The sequence below is a fragment of the Homo sapiens genome, chromosome 10, assembly GCF_000001405.40.
Source record: "Homo sapiens chromosome 10, GRCh38.p14 Primary Assembly".
In the NCBI taxonomy this organism is placed as follows: Eukaryota; Metazoa; Chordata; class Mammalia; order Primates; family Hominidae; genus Homo; species Homo sapiens.
In genome coordinates this window covers 12737968-12756108 of record NC_000010.11, presented here as the reverse complement: position 1 = coordinate 12756108, position 18141 = coordinate 12737968, and the positions used below count along the sequence as shown (strand labels likewise).

General features: G+C 45.5%; 1 protein-coding gene across 10 annotated transcripts in view, besides 2 other annotated features; it reads right to left on the bottom strand.

Annotated features, from left to right (window-relative positions):
• The window catches only part of CAMK1D (calcium/calmodulin dependent protein kinase ID), a 485999-nt gene that overhangs the window by 79437 nt on the left and 388421 nt on the right, over positions 1–18141 (bottom strand). The window lies entirely within an intron of this gene.
• Positions 15200–15699: an enhancer, noted in NCBI's record as "H3K27ac hESC enhancer chr10:12782409-12782908 (GRCh37/hg19 assembly coordinates)". NCBI's record gives its function as "activates a minimal SCP1, AML or CMV promoter by ChIP-STARR-seq in naive H9 embryonic stem cells {active_cell/tissue: H9 hESC(naive)}" and the evidence as "EXISTENCE:reporter gene assay evidence [ECO:0000049][PMID:30033119]".
• Positions 15700–16201: an enhancer, noted in NCBI's record as "H3K27ac hESC enhancer chr10:12781907-12782408 (GRCh37/hg19 assembly coordinates)". NCBI's record gives its function as "activates a minimal SCP1, AML or CMV promoter by ChIP-STARR-seq in naive H9 embryonic stem cells {active_cell/tissue: H9 hESC(naive)}" and the evidence as "EXISTENCE:reporter gene assay evidence [ECO:0000049][PMID:30033119]".

Below are 18141 nucleotides of genomic sequence, written 5' to 3'. Positions count from 1 at the left end.
ACAATGCTGTGAGAGCAGTCTGAGAAATACCAGCCATGATGCTAGGGTAATAAAAAGTAGTGGCACAGCAAATATTTGAAATTCACCTTCGAAATACCTTTGAAATTCACAAAGGCTGCCCTACGACAAGGCCAGGGGAGTGGAGAAGAGACAGGGGCATGCTGCAAGAGCTGTGAGGTCTCAATGGGCCCCAGAACAAGGCTGGTTATAAATGTGTTTTCTAAGCAGCATTTCTCTTCTTTATGTTTAGTCCTAAGGGGAAGATACTCTTGAAATCTGTAGGCTGTGATGAAGAAAGGCTGCAAACAAAGCATTTTCAATGGAGAAACCCCAAGGTCCAGAAGGCAGACATTTACATTATTATTATTATTATTATTAAAGTTTTAGGGTACATGTGCTATCTCACACCAGTTAGAATGGCGATCATTAAAAAGTCAGGAAACAACAGGTGCTGGAGAGGATGTGGAGAAATAGGAACACTTTTACACTGTTGGTGGGACTGTAAACTAGTTCAACCATTGTGGAAGTCAGTGTGGCGATTCCTCAGGGATCTAGAACTAGAAATACCATTTAACCCAGCAACCCCATTACTGGGTATATACCCAAAGGATTATAAATCATGCTGCTATAAAGACACATGCACACGTATGTTTACTGCAGCACTATTCACAATAGATATTTACATTCTTAACCTGGCTTGGAGAAAGTTAGTTTCCATCTTCTCGATCTTTTCCTCAATCAAGATCCACCTTGGCTGAACCTGAGATTCCCCTCTTCCCACAAAACGCAGCTGTCCATCATCCCACACTGGTGCCTATAATCGTCATAACTTCCGTAGGTTTGGTGCCCACCTACACACACTCCCTGCTCCTGGAGGGACTCCCTCACCCACTTCTCAGAGATTAAGTTTTCATTTCATGCAACCTCTCCCCTCAATATTTTCCTCCTTCAACAAATCCTACTTTAATAATTTTTTAAAATCTTTATTCTTAGAATTCCATTTCACAGTATCTTCCAGGCCTCAATCTGTTCAGAAATTTCCAAAATATAAACACACGCCTTTCCATCTAATATACTGGCTATATTTAGCCACCTGTATTCGGTTACACTCTGATTCTGGGCGTTTTGCCTTCTCTATATCTGGGTGTTATGGACTGAACTGAGTACCCCTAAAATCCATATGGTAAAGTCCTGACCCCCCAGTACACCTCAGAATCTGACTGTATTTGGAGATAGGGCCTTTAAAGAGGTAACTAAGGTTTAACGAGGTCATATGGATGGGCCCTAATCCAATAGGACTGGTGTCCTTACACAAAGAGGAAGAGACACTGGGAATTCCATGCACACAAGGAAGACCATGTAAGGACTCAGCAAGAAGACAGCCGTCTGCAAGCCAAGGAAAGACGCCTCAAGAGAAATCAACTGACACCCTGCTGACACCCTGATCTTGCACTTCCAGCCTCCAGAACTGTGAGAAAATAAATGCCTATTGTTTAAGCCACCCAGTCTGTGGTATTCTGTTACATTAGCCCAAACAAATACACCGGGCAACATAAAGGATCTTCCATACTCAGGCAATGTGTCTTTGAATATACATTCTCTTTATATATTTTTCCCAGGTTTATTGGGGAAAACCCACCCACCATGTTTGCTACTTTATTGTGCTTTGTTTCTTCACCAAATCATGGAATGATCCTGTATGGAGCCAGACAATAGGCTGTCTCTGTTTCCATCTGGTGTGTAGTCCAGTGTGGGAGACTGACACACACAGCCAAGTAAATCAGGGTGTGAATGGCTTTGAGGGTGGAGGGAGGCACAGTGGTGAGGGTGCTTTGGAAGACTTCAAAAGGGCACCCAGAAGGGACTCCTGGGATGGGGCAGGAGGAGGTGGATCTCAGCTGTCTTAAAAGGAGGAGCAGGCTGGGCGTGGTGGCTCACACCTGTAATCCCAGCACTTTGGGCAGCTGAGGTGGGTGAATCACCTGAGGTCAGGAGTTCAAGACCAGCCTGGACAACATGGTGAAATCCCATCTCTACTAAAAATACAAAAATTAGCCAGGTGTGGTGCCACACTCCTGTAATCCCAGCTACTCGGGAGGCTGAGGCAGGAGAATCGCTTGAGCCCGGGAGGTGGAGGATGCAGTGAGCCAAGATCACACCACTGCACTCCAGCCTGGGCAACAAGAGCGAAACTCTGTCTCAAAAAAATAAGAAATAAAACTAAAAAGGAGGAGCAGTATTTAGTTAAGTGAAGAGAAGCCCAGTGGGCAGCCAAGGCCCAGTAAATGGAATTATACTGAAAAAGGGGAACCAGTGAAAGCAGCCAGAACTCACTCTTTCGGAGAATACAGGCCATGAGAGAAGGGTTAGAAATGCTGGGTGGAGAGGTCAAACAGTCTAGTGGGTGGCTGGTGCAGCCACTGTTGAGTGCGTTCAGCGATGGCCCCTCTGAAGGACAGGAACGAGGCAGCCACGTGTGGTCAGGGGAAAAGCATTCCGGGCAGAAGGGTGAGGCAGCCCGTTCTAAGATCCCAAGGACCACACGGGGTGGATGGTATTTGGAAAAAAATCTCACAACTGAGAATTGTGACTTCTGCATTAATTAGATATCTCTCTATAAACTTTTAGTCTAATGAGGACTTGTAAGATGAGGTTCAGAGCTATCAACCTAGCATGACATATTTCCTGAGGTGTCCTAGGTTAATGAACCAGTCACTGACATGGCATAGCCCCAGCTAGTGACCTTCTGGTTGAACACAGCCAGCACGAGCTTTGCACTAACAGATGTTCTCGAATGTATTAATTTTTGAAAATATTTTGTAATTAGCTCTTTGATGGTCACATATTGGCCTTTCCACAATTACCTCCAGTTAGGAAGATTGTACTTGGTATGCAGTGGCACGATCTCTGCTCACTGCAACCTCTGCCTCCCAGGTTCAAGTGATTCTCCTGCCTCAGTCTCCCGAGTATCTGGGACTACAGGCACACGCCACCATGCCCAGCTAATTTTTGTATTTTTAGTAGAGATGGGGTTTCACCATGTTGGCCACGATGGTCTCAATCTCTCAATCTCCTGACCTTGTGATCCACCTGCCTCAGCCTCCCAAAGTGCTGGGATTACAGGCGTGAGCCACCATGCCCGGCCAATTGTTTTTCAATTATACTTTTTCCGATACTAAAGTCATTTGATATTCCTTGAGTACATGACAAGTGGAAGAGACAGGAGATGGCTCTGTCAAAGGCCTCAGAATATGACTTGGTTACAGACAGTTCATAAGACCAGTGGCTCCTGGGAAGGGAATTGCCAGTGGCTGTAAGCACGTCCTGGTCTCTCTTGGGTCAGTGACTCTACTAAAAACTTACGGAGAACAATTATTCAATTACATATGCTCAAGAGATTCAGAACGTGAAGACAAATTGATAGGACCCCGATTCTATGACAAGCCTAAAAGATGCCTTTAATTCCTTTGTTCAGTTTTAATGGGAGTTTATTATGTGTATGTATATATTTTTTTTATTTGGACGAATTTAAGGGGTACAAGTACAGCTTGTTACATGGAAATACTGTAGTGGTGAAGTCTGGCTTTTAGTGTAACAATCACTCAAAGAGTGTGCCTTGTCCCCATTAGGTAATTTCTCATCCATCATCCCCCTTCTACCCTCCCGAGTCTCCAATGACTATAATTCCACATGCTAGGTCCATATGTACACATTATTTAGTATTTATATTTGTTCTAATGTTTCTCAGCCAATGGGATCTCTACTAAAACTCTTCTAGCACAAGTGTGGGTAGGCACATGCATTTAGATAATCTGGCCAGCGCGGTGGCTCACCCCTGTAATCCCAGCACTCTGGGTGCTGTCCGCCCAGATCATCTGTGGACAGATCACCTGAAGTCAGGAGTTTGAGACCAGACTGGCCAACATGGTGAAATCCCATCTCTACAAAAATACAAAAGTTAGCCAGGCATGATGGCGGGCGCCTGTAATCCCAGCTACTCGGGAGGCTGAGGTGGGAGAATCGCTTGAAAACCTGGGAGGCGGCCACTGTGGTGAGCCGAGATTGCGCCATTGCACTCCGGCCCGGGTGACAGAGCAAGACTCCACCTCAAAAAAAAAAAAAAGATAATCCAAGAAAGACCCAACAATGCCTTTGAAAGAGCAAAGACAAAACAAATATTGCCTGTCTATTGCTCAGCCTTGCAAAACTTTACTCACTGCCTTTGTTGGTGAAGTCTCAGCGGCTTCTGGGTTTACTTTCTATCAGCAGCCCTGACAAAGGTGCATGGCCCCAGCCGCCCACCACATGGCTTCCCTGCTGCGTGCCGGCTGCTGAGGCTGGGACCTGCAGAGCCCTCACACATTTTTGTCTTTCTACCCGTACTCATCGCTTAGGTCCTAGCTTGAATGTCGCTACTACAGATATGCCTTTCCTGACCCCTAGACCAGATGAGACCCCTCAATACATTCGCTCTTAGCACCTGTCTTTCTGCACAGCACACACCAGTTATACTTAGGTGGTAGCAGAGTTAGCTGGGTCAGGCTCCTCCTCCTGTCCCACCCTATCCCAGACTGTGAACTCCACGAAGGCAGGGCAATGCCTGCCTCATTTACCGCTGTTTACCCAGAGCCTTGCATGGTACTTACACAGAGAAAAAATGAACTAAATATTTGCTGACTAAAGAAAGATGATGGCCAAGCGGGGTGGAGCTCCTGTATTCCTAGCACTTTGGGAGGCTGAGATGGAAGGATCATTTGAGGCAGGAGTTGGAGGCTGCAGTGAGCTATGATCATGCCACTCACTCCAGCATGGGTGACAGAGCAAGACTCTATCTCTAGAATAATAAACAAATAAATAAATATTTTGCACAAAACTGCATAGTGAGTGGGGTGTGGTCTGGCTGGGTATGGTGACCTTAAGCAGCCATGTAAATTCTCAAAGCATGCAGCATGAAGCTCACGAAAGAAGCCTTCTGAAGCCTTCTTATCTTATCTTATCTTATCTTATCTTATCTTATCTTATCTTATCTTATCTTATCTTATCTTATCTTATCTTATTGGGGGAGACGGGCTCCGTCACCCAGGCTGGAATGCAGTGGCGTGATCTCTCAGCTCACTGCAACCTCCACTTCCTGGGCTCCGGCAATTCTCCAGCCTCAGCATCCAGAGTAGCTGGAATTACAGGCGTGTGACACCATGCCCAGCTAGCTTTTGTATTTTTAGTAGAGACATGGTTTTGCCAAGTTGGCCAGGCTGGTCTCAAATTTCCGACCTCAGGTGATTTGCCCACCTCAGACTCCCAAAGTGCTGGGATTACAGGCGTGAGCCATGGCATCTGGCCTGCCTACCTCCTTTAGCTGACTGGCCGCTGAGACAATCCTCCCTCAACTTCTACTTCATTCATTCATTCATTCATCATTCATTCATTCATTCATTCATTCTTGACTTTCCCCATCCCCTAACCTTGATAGCGGTTTGCATGTTGTACCCTTGTTTCACCAATAGTCTCTCCTCCCGGCCTCTTCTGCTCTGAGTTTGGCCTTTTAGCTTGGAGTGGGTGCCTCACACTCAGAAGAATATTCTAGAACCTCCAGCCCACCCAGGGAATGGCTGTCCCACCTGGCTGGTCCTGGCTTTGTGCAGGGACCCCCAGCAGACAAGACTTGGTGACTTCCCTCTGCAATCGAAGGTTACATCTAAACAAAAGAACCCTTCAGCGCATTTTAATAATCATCCATTTCAAAAATCATGCCAGAAAACCATTTAGAATGATCTGCTAAAGGGTAAGTGAGTGAGTGAGTGATATGCACAGCATGTGGGCACAGAGTGACCCCCGGGTGGGGACAACTGGCTGGCAATGTCACAGCCCAAACTGTGCCACATGGACAGGGCAGGGTAATCAAAACACACATACTCAGCGCCTGGGAAAAAAAACAATTAAATCATGGGAATTTGTCAGTTGCGAATTTTGACAGATAATAGTTTTAAAGCCTTCCCTTGTTATTGCACAAATGTACAGTATGTGCTGAAATGGCTTTGTCAATTGATGTGCTCTTTTAGAATTAAGATGAGGAAACAGACCAGCTGCCAGACGTTCCAGGTAAGCATCCACTGTCCTTGGCTCCTTCTCACTCAGCGCAAATGGCTGCAACCCGAGAATAGAACAAAACCTCTACTCATGGCTATGGTGTAGGCAGCTTTTAAAACACACTTTCTGGCCGGACACAGTGGCTCACACTTGTCATCCCAGCACTTTGGGAGGCCGAACGAAGCAGGCGGATCATTTGCAGTCAGGAGTTTGAGACCAGCCTGGCCAACACGGTGAAATTCCGTCTCTACTGAAAATACAAAAATTAGCCAGGTGTTGGTGGGCACCTGTAATATAAAATTTAGCATGGTGGTGGGCACGTGTAATCCCAGCTACTTGGGAGGCTGAGGCAGGAGAATTGCTTGAGCCCAGGAGGCAGAAGTTGCAGTGAGCAGAGACTGTGCCACTGCACTTCGGCCTGGGTGACAGAGCGAGACTTCATCAAAACAAACAAACAAACAAACAAACAAAAAACAAACAAACAAACAAACAAACATCCACACTTTCTATGTGTTCCAGTCCCTTATTGGACAAAAGCCATTCTTACAATGGATTTCTTTTTTTTTTTTTTTTTTTTTAACTTTCTAGCACCTACACATTCATCCTCCACATTTAGTATAGAGGAAAATAACACACGACGTGACACCGAATGGGAACACTGCAACAAGACAACATTTTTAACAACCTATAAAACCACATTATGTTGGTATTAATAGTATGCACTAGCCTTAATGTTAAAAAAAATGACAAAGATTTTTTTCCCCAATATTTATAAGGTTTACTAAGGATAGATACCACTATTCTCAAAGAATGAACAGTGACCATGTGAATTACTGTCCTGAAATTTAGGTTGCAATTTTGAATAGCTCCCAGGCATCACGCCCCAAATTTAGGAGCTGTCTTCCAGCAAAGACTATCAGTCAAGGTGTGGAGCATGGTTAGACCTAAAGTTCACGCTTTTACACTTGCAATTGTCTCTCTATAAAAACCAATCACTAATTAAAGTAATTGTAGAAACACTCATTAGTTACAATCAAATTGAACAGAGAAACAAGTCACAGAAAAATCTGCAGCCTCCTCAGCCCCTTAAGATTTCTTCATCTGTTTTCATCAAAGCACTCTGTCACTCAGGCTGCCATGCACTGCTACGATCACTGCAGTGAGTTCAAGCTCACTGCAGCCTTGAACTCCTAGGCTCAAGCAATCCTCCTGTCTCAGGCTCTCGAATAGCTGGGACTACAGGTGTGCACCACCACAACTGGCTAATTTTGCTTTGCTTATTATCAATCCCCACTGATGGACTAATGGACATTTTGGGGCTCTCCCTGCTATGGTCACTGTCAGCAGGAGCTTTCCAGGCAGGGCACAGTAAACAGCATCTTCTGGTGAGCTGTGGGACTAGCTACTGTCCTTCTCAACAGATGAGTTACTCTGGTCAACTGAGGACCCCAAAACCCAAAGCTTACAGCAGCTCCCAGTGTTTTTATTCACATTCCAGAAAGCAAGCCTTTTCCAGGAACTCTTGTCTTTTCCTCTTTAAGTTTTTCAATGGTTCTAAAGGAAAACTCTGAGTCACACGCCAGTGCCCCCATCCCTGCCCGTGGGCCCCTCCAGACCCTCGGCATCCCTCCAGCCAGAGTCCAAGTCCCTGGCTCATGCCTGCAACCGCATGAGTTTCATGCATTTTTCCCCTTCTTTGTTCTCAATGTCTTAGCACATGATGGCTCCCTGCTACTGAGGTCTTACAAGAGACCCTTGAGAAATCTATTTCTTATTGAGACTATTCTGAAAGACACTAAGCATGCTTGCTTTTGAACAACTTTTAACAAAAAGAACAGGAAGAGTTTAAATACCATGAGCTGTGGAGGGTGAAGAGAGGAATAAAATTGCATTGTTCTGGCCAGACCAGATTCTGGAATGGCTTCTTAGCATCCCTTCGCTGCATCCTCTGACTGGCGCCGTGAGGGTTAATTTTATGAAACTTGAATGGGCCACAGTGGTCAAATATTTGGTCAAACATTATTCTGGATGAGTGTGTCTGCTTTTTGGATGAGATTAACATTTAAACCGGTAGACAAAGTATAGCAAATTTGACTTCCCTAATGAGAGTGGGCCTCATTCAAAGATCTGGACAGAACATAAAAGGGTGTCCCCCACCCCGAATATGAGGGGATCCCTCCTGCTTGACTGCTTTAAAGCTGGGACATTGGCTTTTTCCTGCCTTTGGACTTTGAACTGATATAAATGCTCTTCCCAGGACTCGAGCCTGCTGGCTTTCAGACTGAAACTCATACAATCAGCTCTCCGGGGTCTCCAGCTTGCCACCTGCAGATCTTGGGACTCACCATCCTCTAACCATGTAAGTCAATTGTTTATATCAATAAATCTCTTTCTGGAGAGGTGCAGTGGCTCATGCCTATAATCCTAGCACTCTGGGAAGCCAAGGCAGGAGGATCGCTTGAAGCCAGGAGTTCAAGACCAGCCTGGGCAACATAGCACGACCAGCCCCTGCTCCCCTCCGCTCCTGTCTCTTCAAAAAATAAAAATAATTGGCCAGGCGTGGTGGTGCACACTTGTAGTCCCAGCTATTCAAGAGGCTGAGACAAGAGGATTGTTTACACCCAGGAGTTCAAGGCTGCAATGAGCTATGATTGCAGCACTCCACTCCAGCCTGAGTGACAGAGTGAGACCTTGTCTCTTAAAAGAACAAACGCCGGTAATCCCAGCACTTTGGGAGGCTGAGGCGGGTGGAACATGAGGTCAGGAGATCAAGACCATTCTGGCCAACACGGTGAAACCCCGTCTCTACTAAAAATACAAAAATTAGCTGGGCTTGGTGGTGTGCGCCTGTAGTCCCAGCTACTCGGGAAGCTGAGGCAGGAGAATCGCTTGAACCCAGGAGATGGAGGCTGCAGCGAGCCGAGATCGTGCCACTGCACTCTAGCCTGGGCAACAGAGCAGGACTCCATCTCAAAAGACAAACAAACAAACAAAAAGAATTAAATTAAAAAAAAAACAACTCTTTCTCCATTTATTTGTCTATCTATATACCTCCTATTGGCTGTTACTTTGGAGAACCATAAAACAGGGGCTTTCTGCTTCTAGGGTTCCATTAACCCCAACTAAAGGCATCTATTGTAGTATCAGAAGGATAAACTGATCTGGTCTCTAAAATGTAGGAACCTCAGACGCCTTTTAGTTAAACCCCTCATTTCATGGTGAGGAAAGCGATGCCCCCAGCTGTGGCGTGGCTCACCTCCCGCCCCCGTCACACAGTTCAGTGTGGCACAAGGGCATGGCCTCATGCTGTTTCCTGTGAAACGCTCCTTTCCTCAGTAACTCTGGTCACGATTATAGAAGGGAAAGCAGATGGCAGAAAAAATAATGTGGAAAGAGAAAAGGAATGAGAAGTAGAACAGGAGAGACGGCAAGGTCAGGGAAGCAAGAAAGAGAAGGTGTTCCAGGAGCTGTCTGCTTGCTCAGAGACCCCCAAAACATTTTCCTGTAATGTGGATGGAAATGAATGGCACAGAAAATTCACATTTCTAAACAATAAGCCTAACGTTCCAATGTCCTCCCAATTTCTGGCAAGCTTTTCTAAAATGTGTTAGCCTCAAGTGGACAGATTTGAGATTCACTAACTTTTTTTTTTTTTTTTGAGACGGAGTCTTGCTCTGTCGCCCAGGCTGGAGTGCAGTGGCGAGATCTGGGCTCACTGCAAGCTCCGCCTCCCGGGTTCACGCCATTCTCCTGCCTCAGCCTCCCGAGTAGCTGGGACTACAGGCACCTGTCACCACGCCCAGCTAATTTTTTGTTTTTTTAGTAGAGACGGGGTTTCACCGTGTTAGCCAGGATGATCTCCACCTCCTGACCATGCGGATCCGTCCGCCTCGTCAGTAACTTTTTAATAGCTCTACAGGCATCACCGGCATCGGGACAAATACAGTCGGCATCAGGACAAATATTAAATGTATCTTTGATGACAAAAACACTTTGATGCAAAACCGACTAGAAGCCTAAGATGTTGTCTAAGTACCAAAGGGGCCCTGGGACATACTTTCAACTAAGTGACTGTTCTTGAGTTGTGGTATTCTGGAAGAAAGTTGTCAGATTTCGTCAGCCAGGCAAAGTAGCTCATGCCTGTAATCCCAGCACTTTGGGGGGCCGAAGCGCATGGATCAGCTGAGGTCAGCGGTTCGAGACCAGCCTGGCCAACATGGTGAAATCCCATCTCTACTAAAAATACCAAAAATTAGCTGGGCGTGGTGGCGGGCACCTGTAATCCCAGCTACTCGGGAGGCCGAGACAGGAGAATCGTTTGAACCCAGGAGGCGGAGGTTGTGGTGAGCTGAGATCACACCATTGCACTCCTGCCTGGGCAACAAGAGCGAAACTCCATCTCAAAAAAAAAAAAGAAAAAAAGAAAATTGGCAGAGTTTCTTGCATTTGGAAAAACAAAACTAAAACAAAAATCCATATACAGCAACACTTGAAAAACTCATGTAAGTGACCTTAGATAGAGATGCTTTCTTCAGCACTACCAGAATTGTTGAACTGTCCAATTCCCTTCACCACATTCTGTTTCTAGTATTCTAGCGTGTGTGTGTGTGCGTGCGCACACGCATGTGTTTATGTTATTTGAAAATAACTATAAGCTTTGGTCAATCTGGGTCTTAAAAAATACAGCAGAGCAGCTGGGCACGGTGGCTCACACCTGTAATCCCAGCACTTTGAGAGGCTGAGGCGGGCGGATCACGAGATCAGGAAATCGAGACCATCCTGGCTAACACGGTGAAACCCTGTCTCTACTAAAAATACAAAAAATTGGCTGGGCGTGGTGGTGGGTGCCTGTAGTCCCAGCTACTCGGGAGGCTGAGGCAGGAGAACGGCGTGAACTCGGAAGGCAGAGCTTGCAGTGAGCCGAGATTGCGCCATTGCGCTCCAGCCTGGACGATGGCGAGACTGTTCAATGAGGGAGTCCAGAATGGACATCCCCATGATTCTATGAATGACAGTGGCTCTCAGCAGCCATGGCCACTATACCTGAGCACAAGGAATGAAGTTTCGTGGGCACAGAACTGAGAGCCTCAAGCAAGAATCTGACTTGTTTTGTTATTTTTAGAGACAGGGTCTTGCTGTGTTGCCCAGGCTGGAGTACAGTGGCATGACCACAGCTCACTGCAGCCTTGAACTCCTGGGTTCAAGCGATCCTTCTCCCTTATCCTCGTGAGTAGCTGGGATTACAGGCATGAGCCACCACGTCTGGCTTTTTTTTTTTTTTAATTTTTATTTTTGTAGAGACCAACTCTCACAATGTTGCCCAGGCTGCTCTCAAATTCCCAGCCTCAAGTGATCCTCCCACTTCAGCCTCCCAAAGTGCTGGGATACAGGTGTGAGCCACTGTACCCTGAGTTTTGTTTTTAAGGTTCGCCTTTCTTTGTTGCCAGTGTGTTTTTTAAAATATGCCTTTCTGCTTCACACACACTAGGATGGCTACATTTTAAAACCAAAACAGCAAAAAGGAAAATAATGAGTGTTGGCAATGAGAATGTAGAGAAAGTGGAACCTCACCCATTGCTGGTGGAAATGTAAAGTGGGGCAGCCACGATGGAAAACAGTTTAACAATTTCTCAAAAAGTGAAACTATAGCATTATGGGATGACCTAGCAATTTCATTCCTTAGGTATATACCTGTGAGATCTGAAAACACACATTCATACAAAAATCAGTGTTCACAGCAGAATTGTTCATAATAGCCAAAAAGTGGAAGCAACCCAAATGTCTATCAATTGATGAATGGAAAAACAAAATATATTTACATAATCCATATACGGAATATTTTAGCCATAAAAAGAAACGCAGTACTGATACAAACAACAACATGAGAAACACATTGAAAACATTATGCTAAGGGAAGGAACCAGACACAAAAGGCCACATATTATATGATCTCATTTATATGAAATGTCCAGAAAAGGCAAATTTTTTTTTTTTTTTTTGAAACGGAGTCTCACTCTGTTACCCAGGCTGGAGTGCAGTGGCCGGATCTCAGCTCACTGCAACCTCTGCCTCCCAGGTTCAAGCCATTCTCCTGTTTCAGCCTCTGGAGTAGCTGGGATTACAGGCGTGTGCTACCACATCCAGCTAATTTCTGTATTTTTAGTAGAGACAGGGTTTCACCATGTTGACCAGTCTGGTCTTGAACTCCTGACCTCAGGTGATCTGCCTGCCTTGGCCTCCCAAAGTGCTGAGATTACAGGCGTGAGCCACTGCACCTGGCCCGGAACAGGCAAATCTTTAGAGAGAATGTAGATTCATGACTGCCAGATGCTGGGAAGGAAAGAGAAATAGGGAGTGACTGCTAGTGAGTTTAGAGGTCGTTTTGGGGGTGGTAGGAATGTTCTGAAGTTCTGTAGTGGTGATGGTGATCCAACTCTGTGAACATATTAAAGTACTGTACTGAGTTGTACAACTTGAAAGGGTGAATTTTATGGTATGTGATTTATACCTATTTTTTAAGTGCATTCTTCCCTTTTTTTATAGACCCATTATTTCATCAACAGGAGCAGAAATGTGACAAATGAAGGCAAATTTTTATACGACCTTAGAAATAGCCTAGTTTTCCCTTGTCTTTCTTTTCCTTTTTCTTTTTTTCTTTTTTCTTTTTTTTTTTTTGAGACAGGGTCTTACCCTGTCACCCAGGCTGGAGGACGGTGGCACAATCTTGGCTCACTGCAACCTCTGCCTCCTGGGTTCAAGTGATTCTCCTGCCTCAGCCTCCCAAGTAGCTAAGATTACAGGTGCCTGCCACCATGCCCGGCTAATTTTTGTATTTTTAGTAGGGATGGGGTTTCATCATGTTGGCCAGCCAGGCTGGTCTCAAACTCCTGACCTCAAGCAATCTGCCTGCCTCGGCCTCGCAAAGTGCTGGGATTACAGGCGTGAGCCACGGCACCCAGCCTTGTCTTGGTTTCTTGTTCAATCTTCTTTGTCTTTACTCTTCCTCTTTTCTGGTGACATACCAAGATGACCTCTCATCAGAGCTATGCCTCCTTTCCCACACACCCTTCCTCTTTTAACACCTGCTGTCTTGCGCACATCCATATGTGTTTAAACAGTCCCCGTCTCTGACGCGGGCTCTCCTCTTGAAGAATAAACTGGAAGAACTCTAAAGCATGGAGCTCTTTGTCAGATGTGGTATTCTTAGACGACCTCGGGGAATAAACCACTTAACACAGGGAGCTGGAGTCATTCTCTTTGGAAACAGCTTTTAGTTAGTTACATCTCCCAAGATCTTCTATGATGTGATCTCAAATAACTGTTCAATGGCACCTCACTCGCTCATATTATTCCCAGCTAAAGAGCCCTTCAAGCTAAGAACTTCACTGAGCTGAAACCTCAGCTCACGTGATTTGCTTCAAAATCTACCAGACATAATTTTAAAAAGAGGGTGTGTGTGCCATTAGGGTGATGAAAACGTTCTGAAACTGGATTCAGGTGATGGTTGCACAACTCGGCCAATTTACTGAAAATCATTCAATTGTACATTCGAAATGAGTGAATTTTATGGTACATAAATTACGCTTCTGCTGTGCGTGGTGGCTCATGCCTGTAATCCCAGCACTTTGGGAGGCCAAGGCAGGCGGATTGCCTGAGCCCAGGAGTTGGAAACCAGCCTGGACAACACGGTGAGACCCCGTCTCTACTAAAAATTTAAAAGTTAGCTGGGCGTGGTGGCACATGCCTGTAGTCCCAGCTACTTGAGGGCTGAGGTGGAAGGATGGTTTGAGCCCAGGAGTTTGAGGCTGTGGTGAGCTATGATTGCACCACTGCACTCCAGCCTGGGCAACAGAGCGAGACCCTGTCTAAAAATATATATACACCTCAAAAACGTGTTAAAACACAAAAACAAAGGGAAGCAGTGGGCGTAGGCAGAGAGAGGGCAAGATGGGCCTTATGTGGACATTGTCCCTTCAGTGGAGGGGATGCTGCTGGGTGTGGCCTTGCTCTCCCCTTCAGGACACCCCAGATGCTGGCACTGTTGGCTGAGGCCAGCTCTTAGCTGAATCCCTCACCTTTAGCACATGAGAGCTAAAGATCCCTCTCTAGGAGCAGCTCACATCCAGACAATGAGAGGATGTAAATGTCCATCCTCCCTCCTTGTCCCAAAGCAGGAGAAATCCCTGCAGGGCCGTCTCAGTTCCAAAGTTCTGGGATGGCTGAGGCCTTGCTGAGCCTGCTCTGTGGCCCAATTCCCTTCCCTGGCCCTCTCCTGCTTCCCTCCCTTCCCGGCAGATGCGTATCCTGGGGACTCTCCGAAGAAAACCACCTGCTCCCAAACCTCTGCTTCAGAGGCTGTTTCCAGGGAAACCGACCTAAGACAAGAGGCTCCTGACATATTCTCTCTACATTTGTAAATGCTGAACATGTTTCATAAGAAATAAGAAAACCAAAAGGTTCCCTGAACAGAAGCACCACAAACTCTAGGGAAAACATATCTGATGTTTCACAGACTGTAGCCAATACAAAATTTGTTGTCCATGGAAACAGAGCAAGGCAAGCCAAGAGGGCGGCCCTCGCTGTCCCTGAATCTCAGGGTCAGGAGCCTGGTTCAGCGTGGTCAGTGCCTTTCTGGCTGTCCTGTAAGGACTGCGAGATGCATTTACCCATCTGTGCAGAGGGATTTGCTGAACTTAGGTCTAACCCGGCGGTTCGTAACTGTTACAAGAGCATGTGGTCTCTGCTAAGCATGAAGAAAGGAATATGGGAAAATCTGAGAGTACTCAGGCTCTCAGAGAGGTGATGAGAAGACAGGAAACTCTGTACCCCCGTTTGAATTTAGAATCCATGCGTTTCCTTCATTTAATACACTTGCACCCTCTGCTAGAAAGCCTGGAGGCAGGAGGATGATAAGATTTTGGTGATTAAATGATTTAAAGTCACAGATAGAGGAGAATTTGAGTGCATTCAACATTTTCAGTCTCTTCCATCAAAAGGATGATGTGGAAAATCCCCTTCCTTTAGGCAGTCCAGGAACCACCAATTATCTGAAATTGCCTTGCTTAAGGAAATTCCAAATCTCATTCAAAACTTCTGGCTAGCTCATGATTATTAACTCCCACTGGCACATGAGATGAATATTGGTGGTGCACTAAAAAGTCCTCAACCAAAGGGATGTGAGTGACCGCTTTTGTTATGCTAGGTTCAACTCAGTACCCAGTACTATGGAATGTGTTGTCCTATGCAAAAAAAACAAAAACAAAACAGAGATCTCTCCAAAAGAGGCACTGCCTCCCAAAATCTTGAACTGCCTCGGCTCAGCTATTTGTGTCTTGTTCAAACTCTCAGCTTCTCTAGCCTCATCAGTCCATCCTACCTGCCTTTCCAGCTCCATCTCCCAGTTTCTTTTCTTTTTTTTTCTTTTGAGATGGAGTCTCCCTCTGTTACCCAGGCTGGAGCGCAGTGGCATGATCTCAGTTCACTGTAATCTCCACCTCCCAGGTTCAAACAGTTCTCCTGTCTCAGCCTCCCGAGTAGCTGGGACTACAGGCACTTGCCACCACGTCTGGCTGATTTTTTATTTTTAGTAGAGATGAGGTTTCGCCATGTTGCCCAGGCTGGTCTCAAACTCCTGCCCTCAGGTGATTCGCCTGCCTCCACCTCCCAAAGTGCTGGGATTACAGGCGTGAGCCACTGTGCCTGGCCCATCTCCCGGTTTCTGATCTTGTCTCTCTCCCTTGATGTGGCACCTCCACGAAACAGTCATTTATTTACAAAACAAGCTCTGTGCATTTCCTTCATGGGGTGGCCTCTGGGTGCCTTTCCACGCAGCTACACCAGGGGTGTCAGGGAGGGCTGCATAAACGGAGAGCAGAGGTGAGGCCCCAGGAAAAAGCTGAGCACAGACAGAAAGATTCACAGAAGGAAGGTGGAGAAATAATATCCCAGATGACGGGATGAAACAGCACACAGGAACTACTCGGTTCCTACCTCAGATACTATTTTTACAAGGTAGGAAATATATTTGGCATAAGTAATACCATCGTCCAATTCATTACTACAGTAAATCTTTGACTTTTCAAAAATATTTGTGCAACTGTACAAATTCCACTTTCTTCTCACAGGAAAGCTATTGTTGGTCTTATTTTAAGAATAAGGCAACCAGGTTACAGGAAGGAAAAATGATTCGATGGGTCGGTAGCTGAGCTGTAACGAACCAAGACCGAGAGAGCACCATACAATTAGGGGTCTTTTGAAATTTCTGATTACAAGTAGTACATGCTCAGTACAAACAATATGGAATGTATACAAAGTACACGAAACTAAAATGTCATCCCAAACTCCACCACCAAAGGGCACCCAGAATTAATATTTTACCTTTATCCTCTCAATCTTTTTTTTCTAAGTTGTATTGAGATCAAAGCATATATCTCAGCCGGGTGCGGTGGCTCACTCATGTAATCCCAGCATTTTGGGAGGCCGAGGCGGGTGGATCACGAGGTCAGGAGTTCGAGACCAGCCTGGCCAACATGGTGAAACACCGTCTCTACTGAAAATACAAAAAAAAAAAAAAAAAAAATTAGCCGGGTGTGGTGGCATGCACCTGTAATCCCAGCTACTCCGGAGGCTGAGGCAGGAAAACTGCTTAAACCCGAGAGGCGGAGGTTATAGTGAGCCAAGATGGCGCAACTGTGCTCCACAGCCTGAGCAACAGAGCAAGACTCTGTCTCGGGGGGAGAGGGGAACGTATCTATCTCATTTTGTATTAACCTTTTTTCTTTTTCTGAGACAGGGTTTCTCTCTGTTGCCCAGGATGGAGTGCAGGGGCGCAATCATGGCTCACTGCAATCTCCGCCTTCTGGGCTTAAGCGATCCTCCTGCCTCAACCTCCTGAGTAGCTGAGACCACAAGTACACACCACCACGCCTGGCTAATATTTCTATTTTTTGCAGAAACGAGGTTTCCCCATGTTGTCCAACCTGGTCTCAAACTTCTCGGCTCAAGCGATCCACCATCTTCCAAAGTGCTGGGATTGCAGGCGTGAATCACTGCACCCAGCCAAACTTTTCAATGAATGTTATATTACAAATGTTTCCCAACATTCACACATACCTCATAAGGTAATTTTGAAGTTTGCATAATCTTACGTGTGGTTATAGAATAATTTATTTTTATTTATTTATTTATTTAGAGACAGAGTCTTGCTCTGTTGCCCAGGCTGGAGTGCAGTGGTGTGATCTTAGCTCACTGCAGCCTCTGCTTCCTGGCTTTACGCGCTCCTCCTGCCTCAGCCTCCTGAGTAGCTGGGATTACAGGTGCGAGCCACCACGCCCGGCTAATTTTTTGCATTTTTAGTAGAGATGGGGTTTCACTGTGTTGGCCAGGATGGTCTCGATCTCCTGACCTCGTGATACGCCCGCCTCAGCCTCCCAAAGTGCTGGGATTACAGGTGTGAGCCACTGCACCTGGCCAGAATAATTTATTTTTAATGATATATTCCCTGTGGATATTTCTGTTATTATAAATAAAAATGAACAGATCAAGTTGGCATAAATATCTTTGTTTACATTTTGGATGATGCCATTCCTAGAAAAAGAATTCTAGCACTGGACAAACGACGACAGGAAAGAGCTCACGTGTCCTTCACTCCCACCAACAGTCTAACAGAGAATCCATTCGCTTTATTTTAGTCTTCATTTCTGATTAATCTATGTGACTCTTTGCATCTCTTGTTCACTAGTTACACAAGGTTAAAATGTCCTCTTATTGACAGAAATTCTTATGAGCTCTTACTAAGGTATAAGGATATTAATCCTGGGGTCTATCATAATTTCTGAAATATTTTTCATAGTTTGACATTTATCTTTTAATTATATTTTCCACACATTGTCACCTACAGATGCTTTTCATTTTATTGGGTAATTAGATTTCTCCACACATTCCTTCACTATTTATTGTCTTGAGGAAGAGTCTTCGTTTCAAAGATCTTACAAATATTTCTTCCCAAAGACCTTGTGATTTAATTTTTGATTTTACACTGAGTATATTATTTTA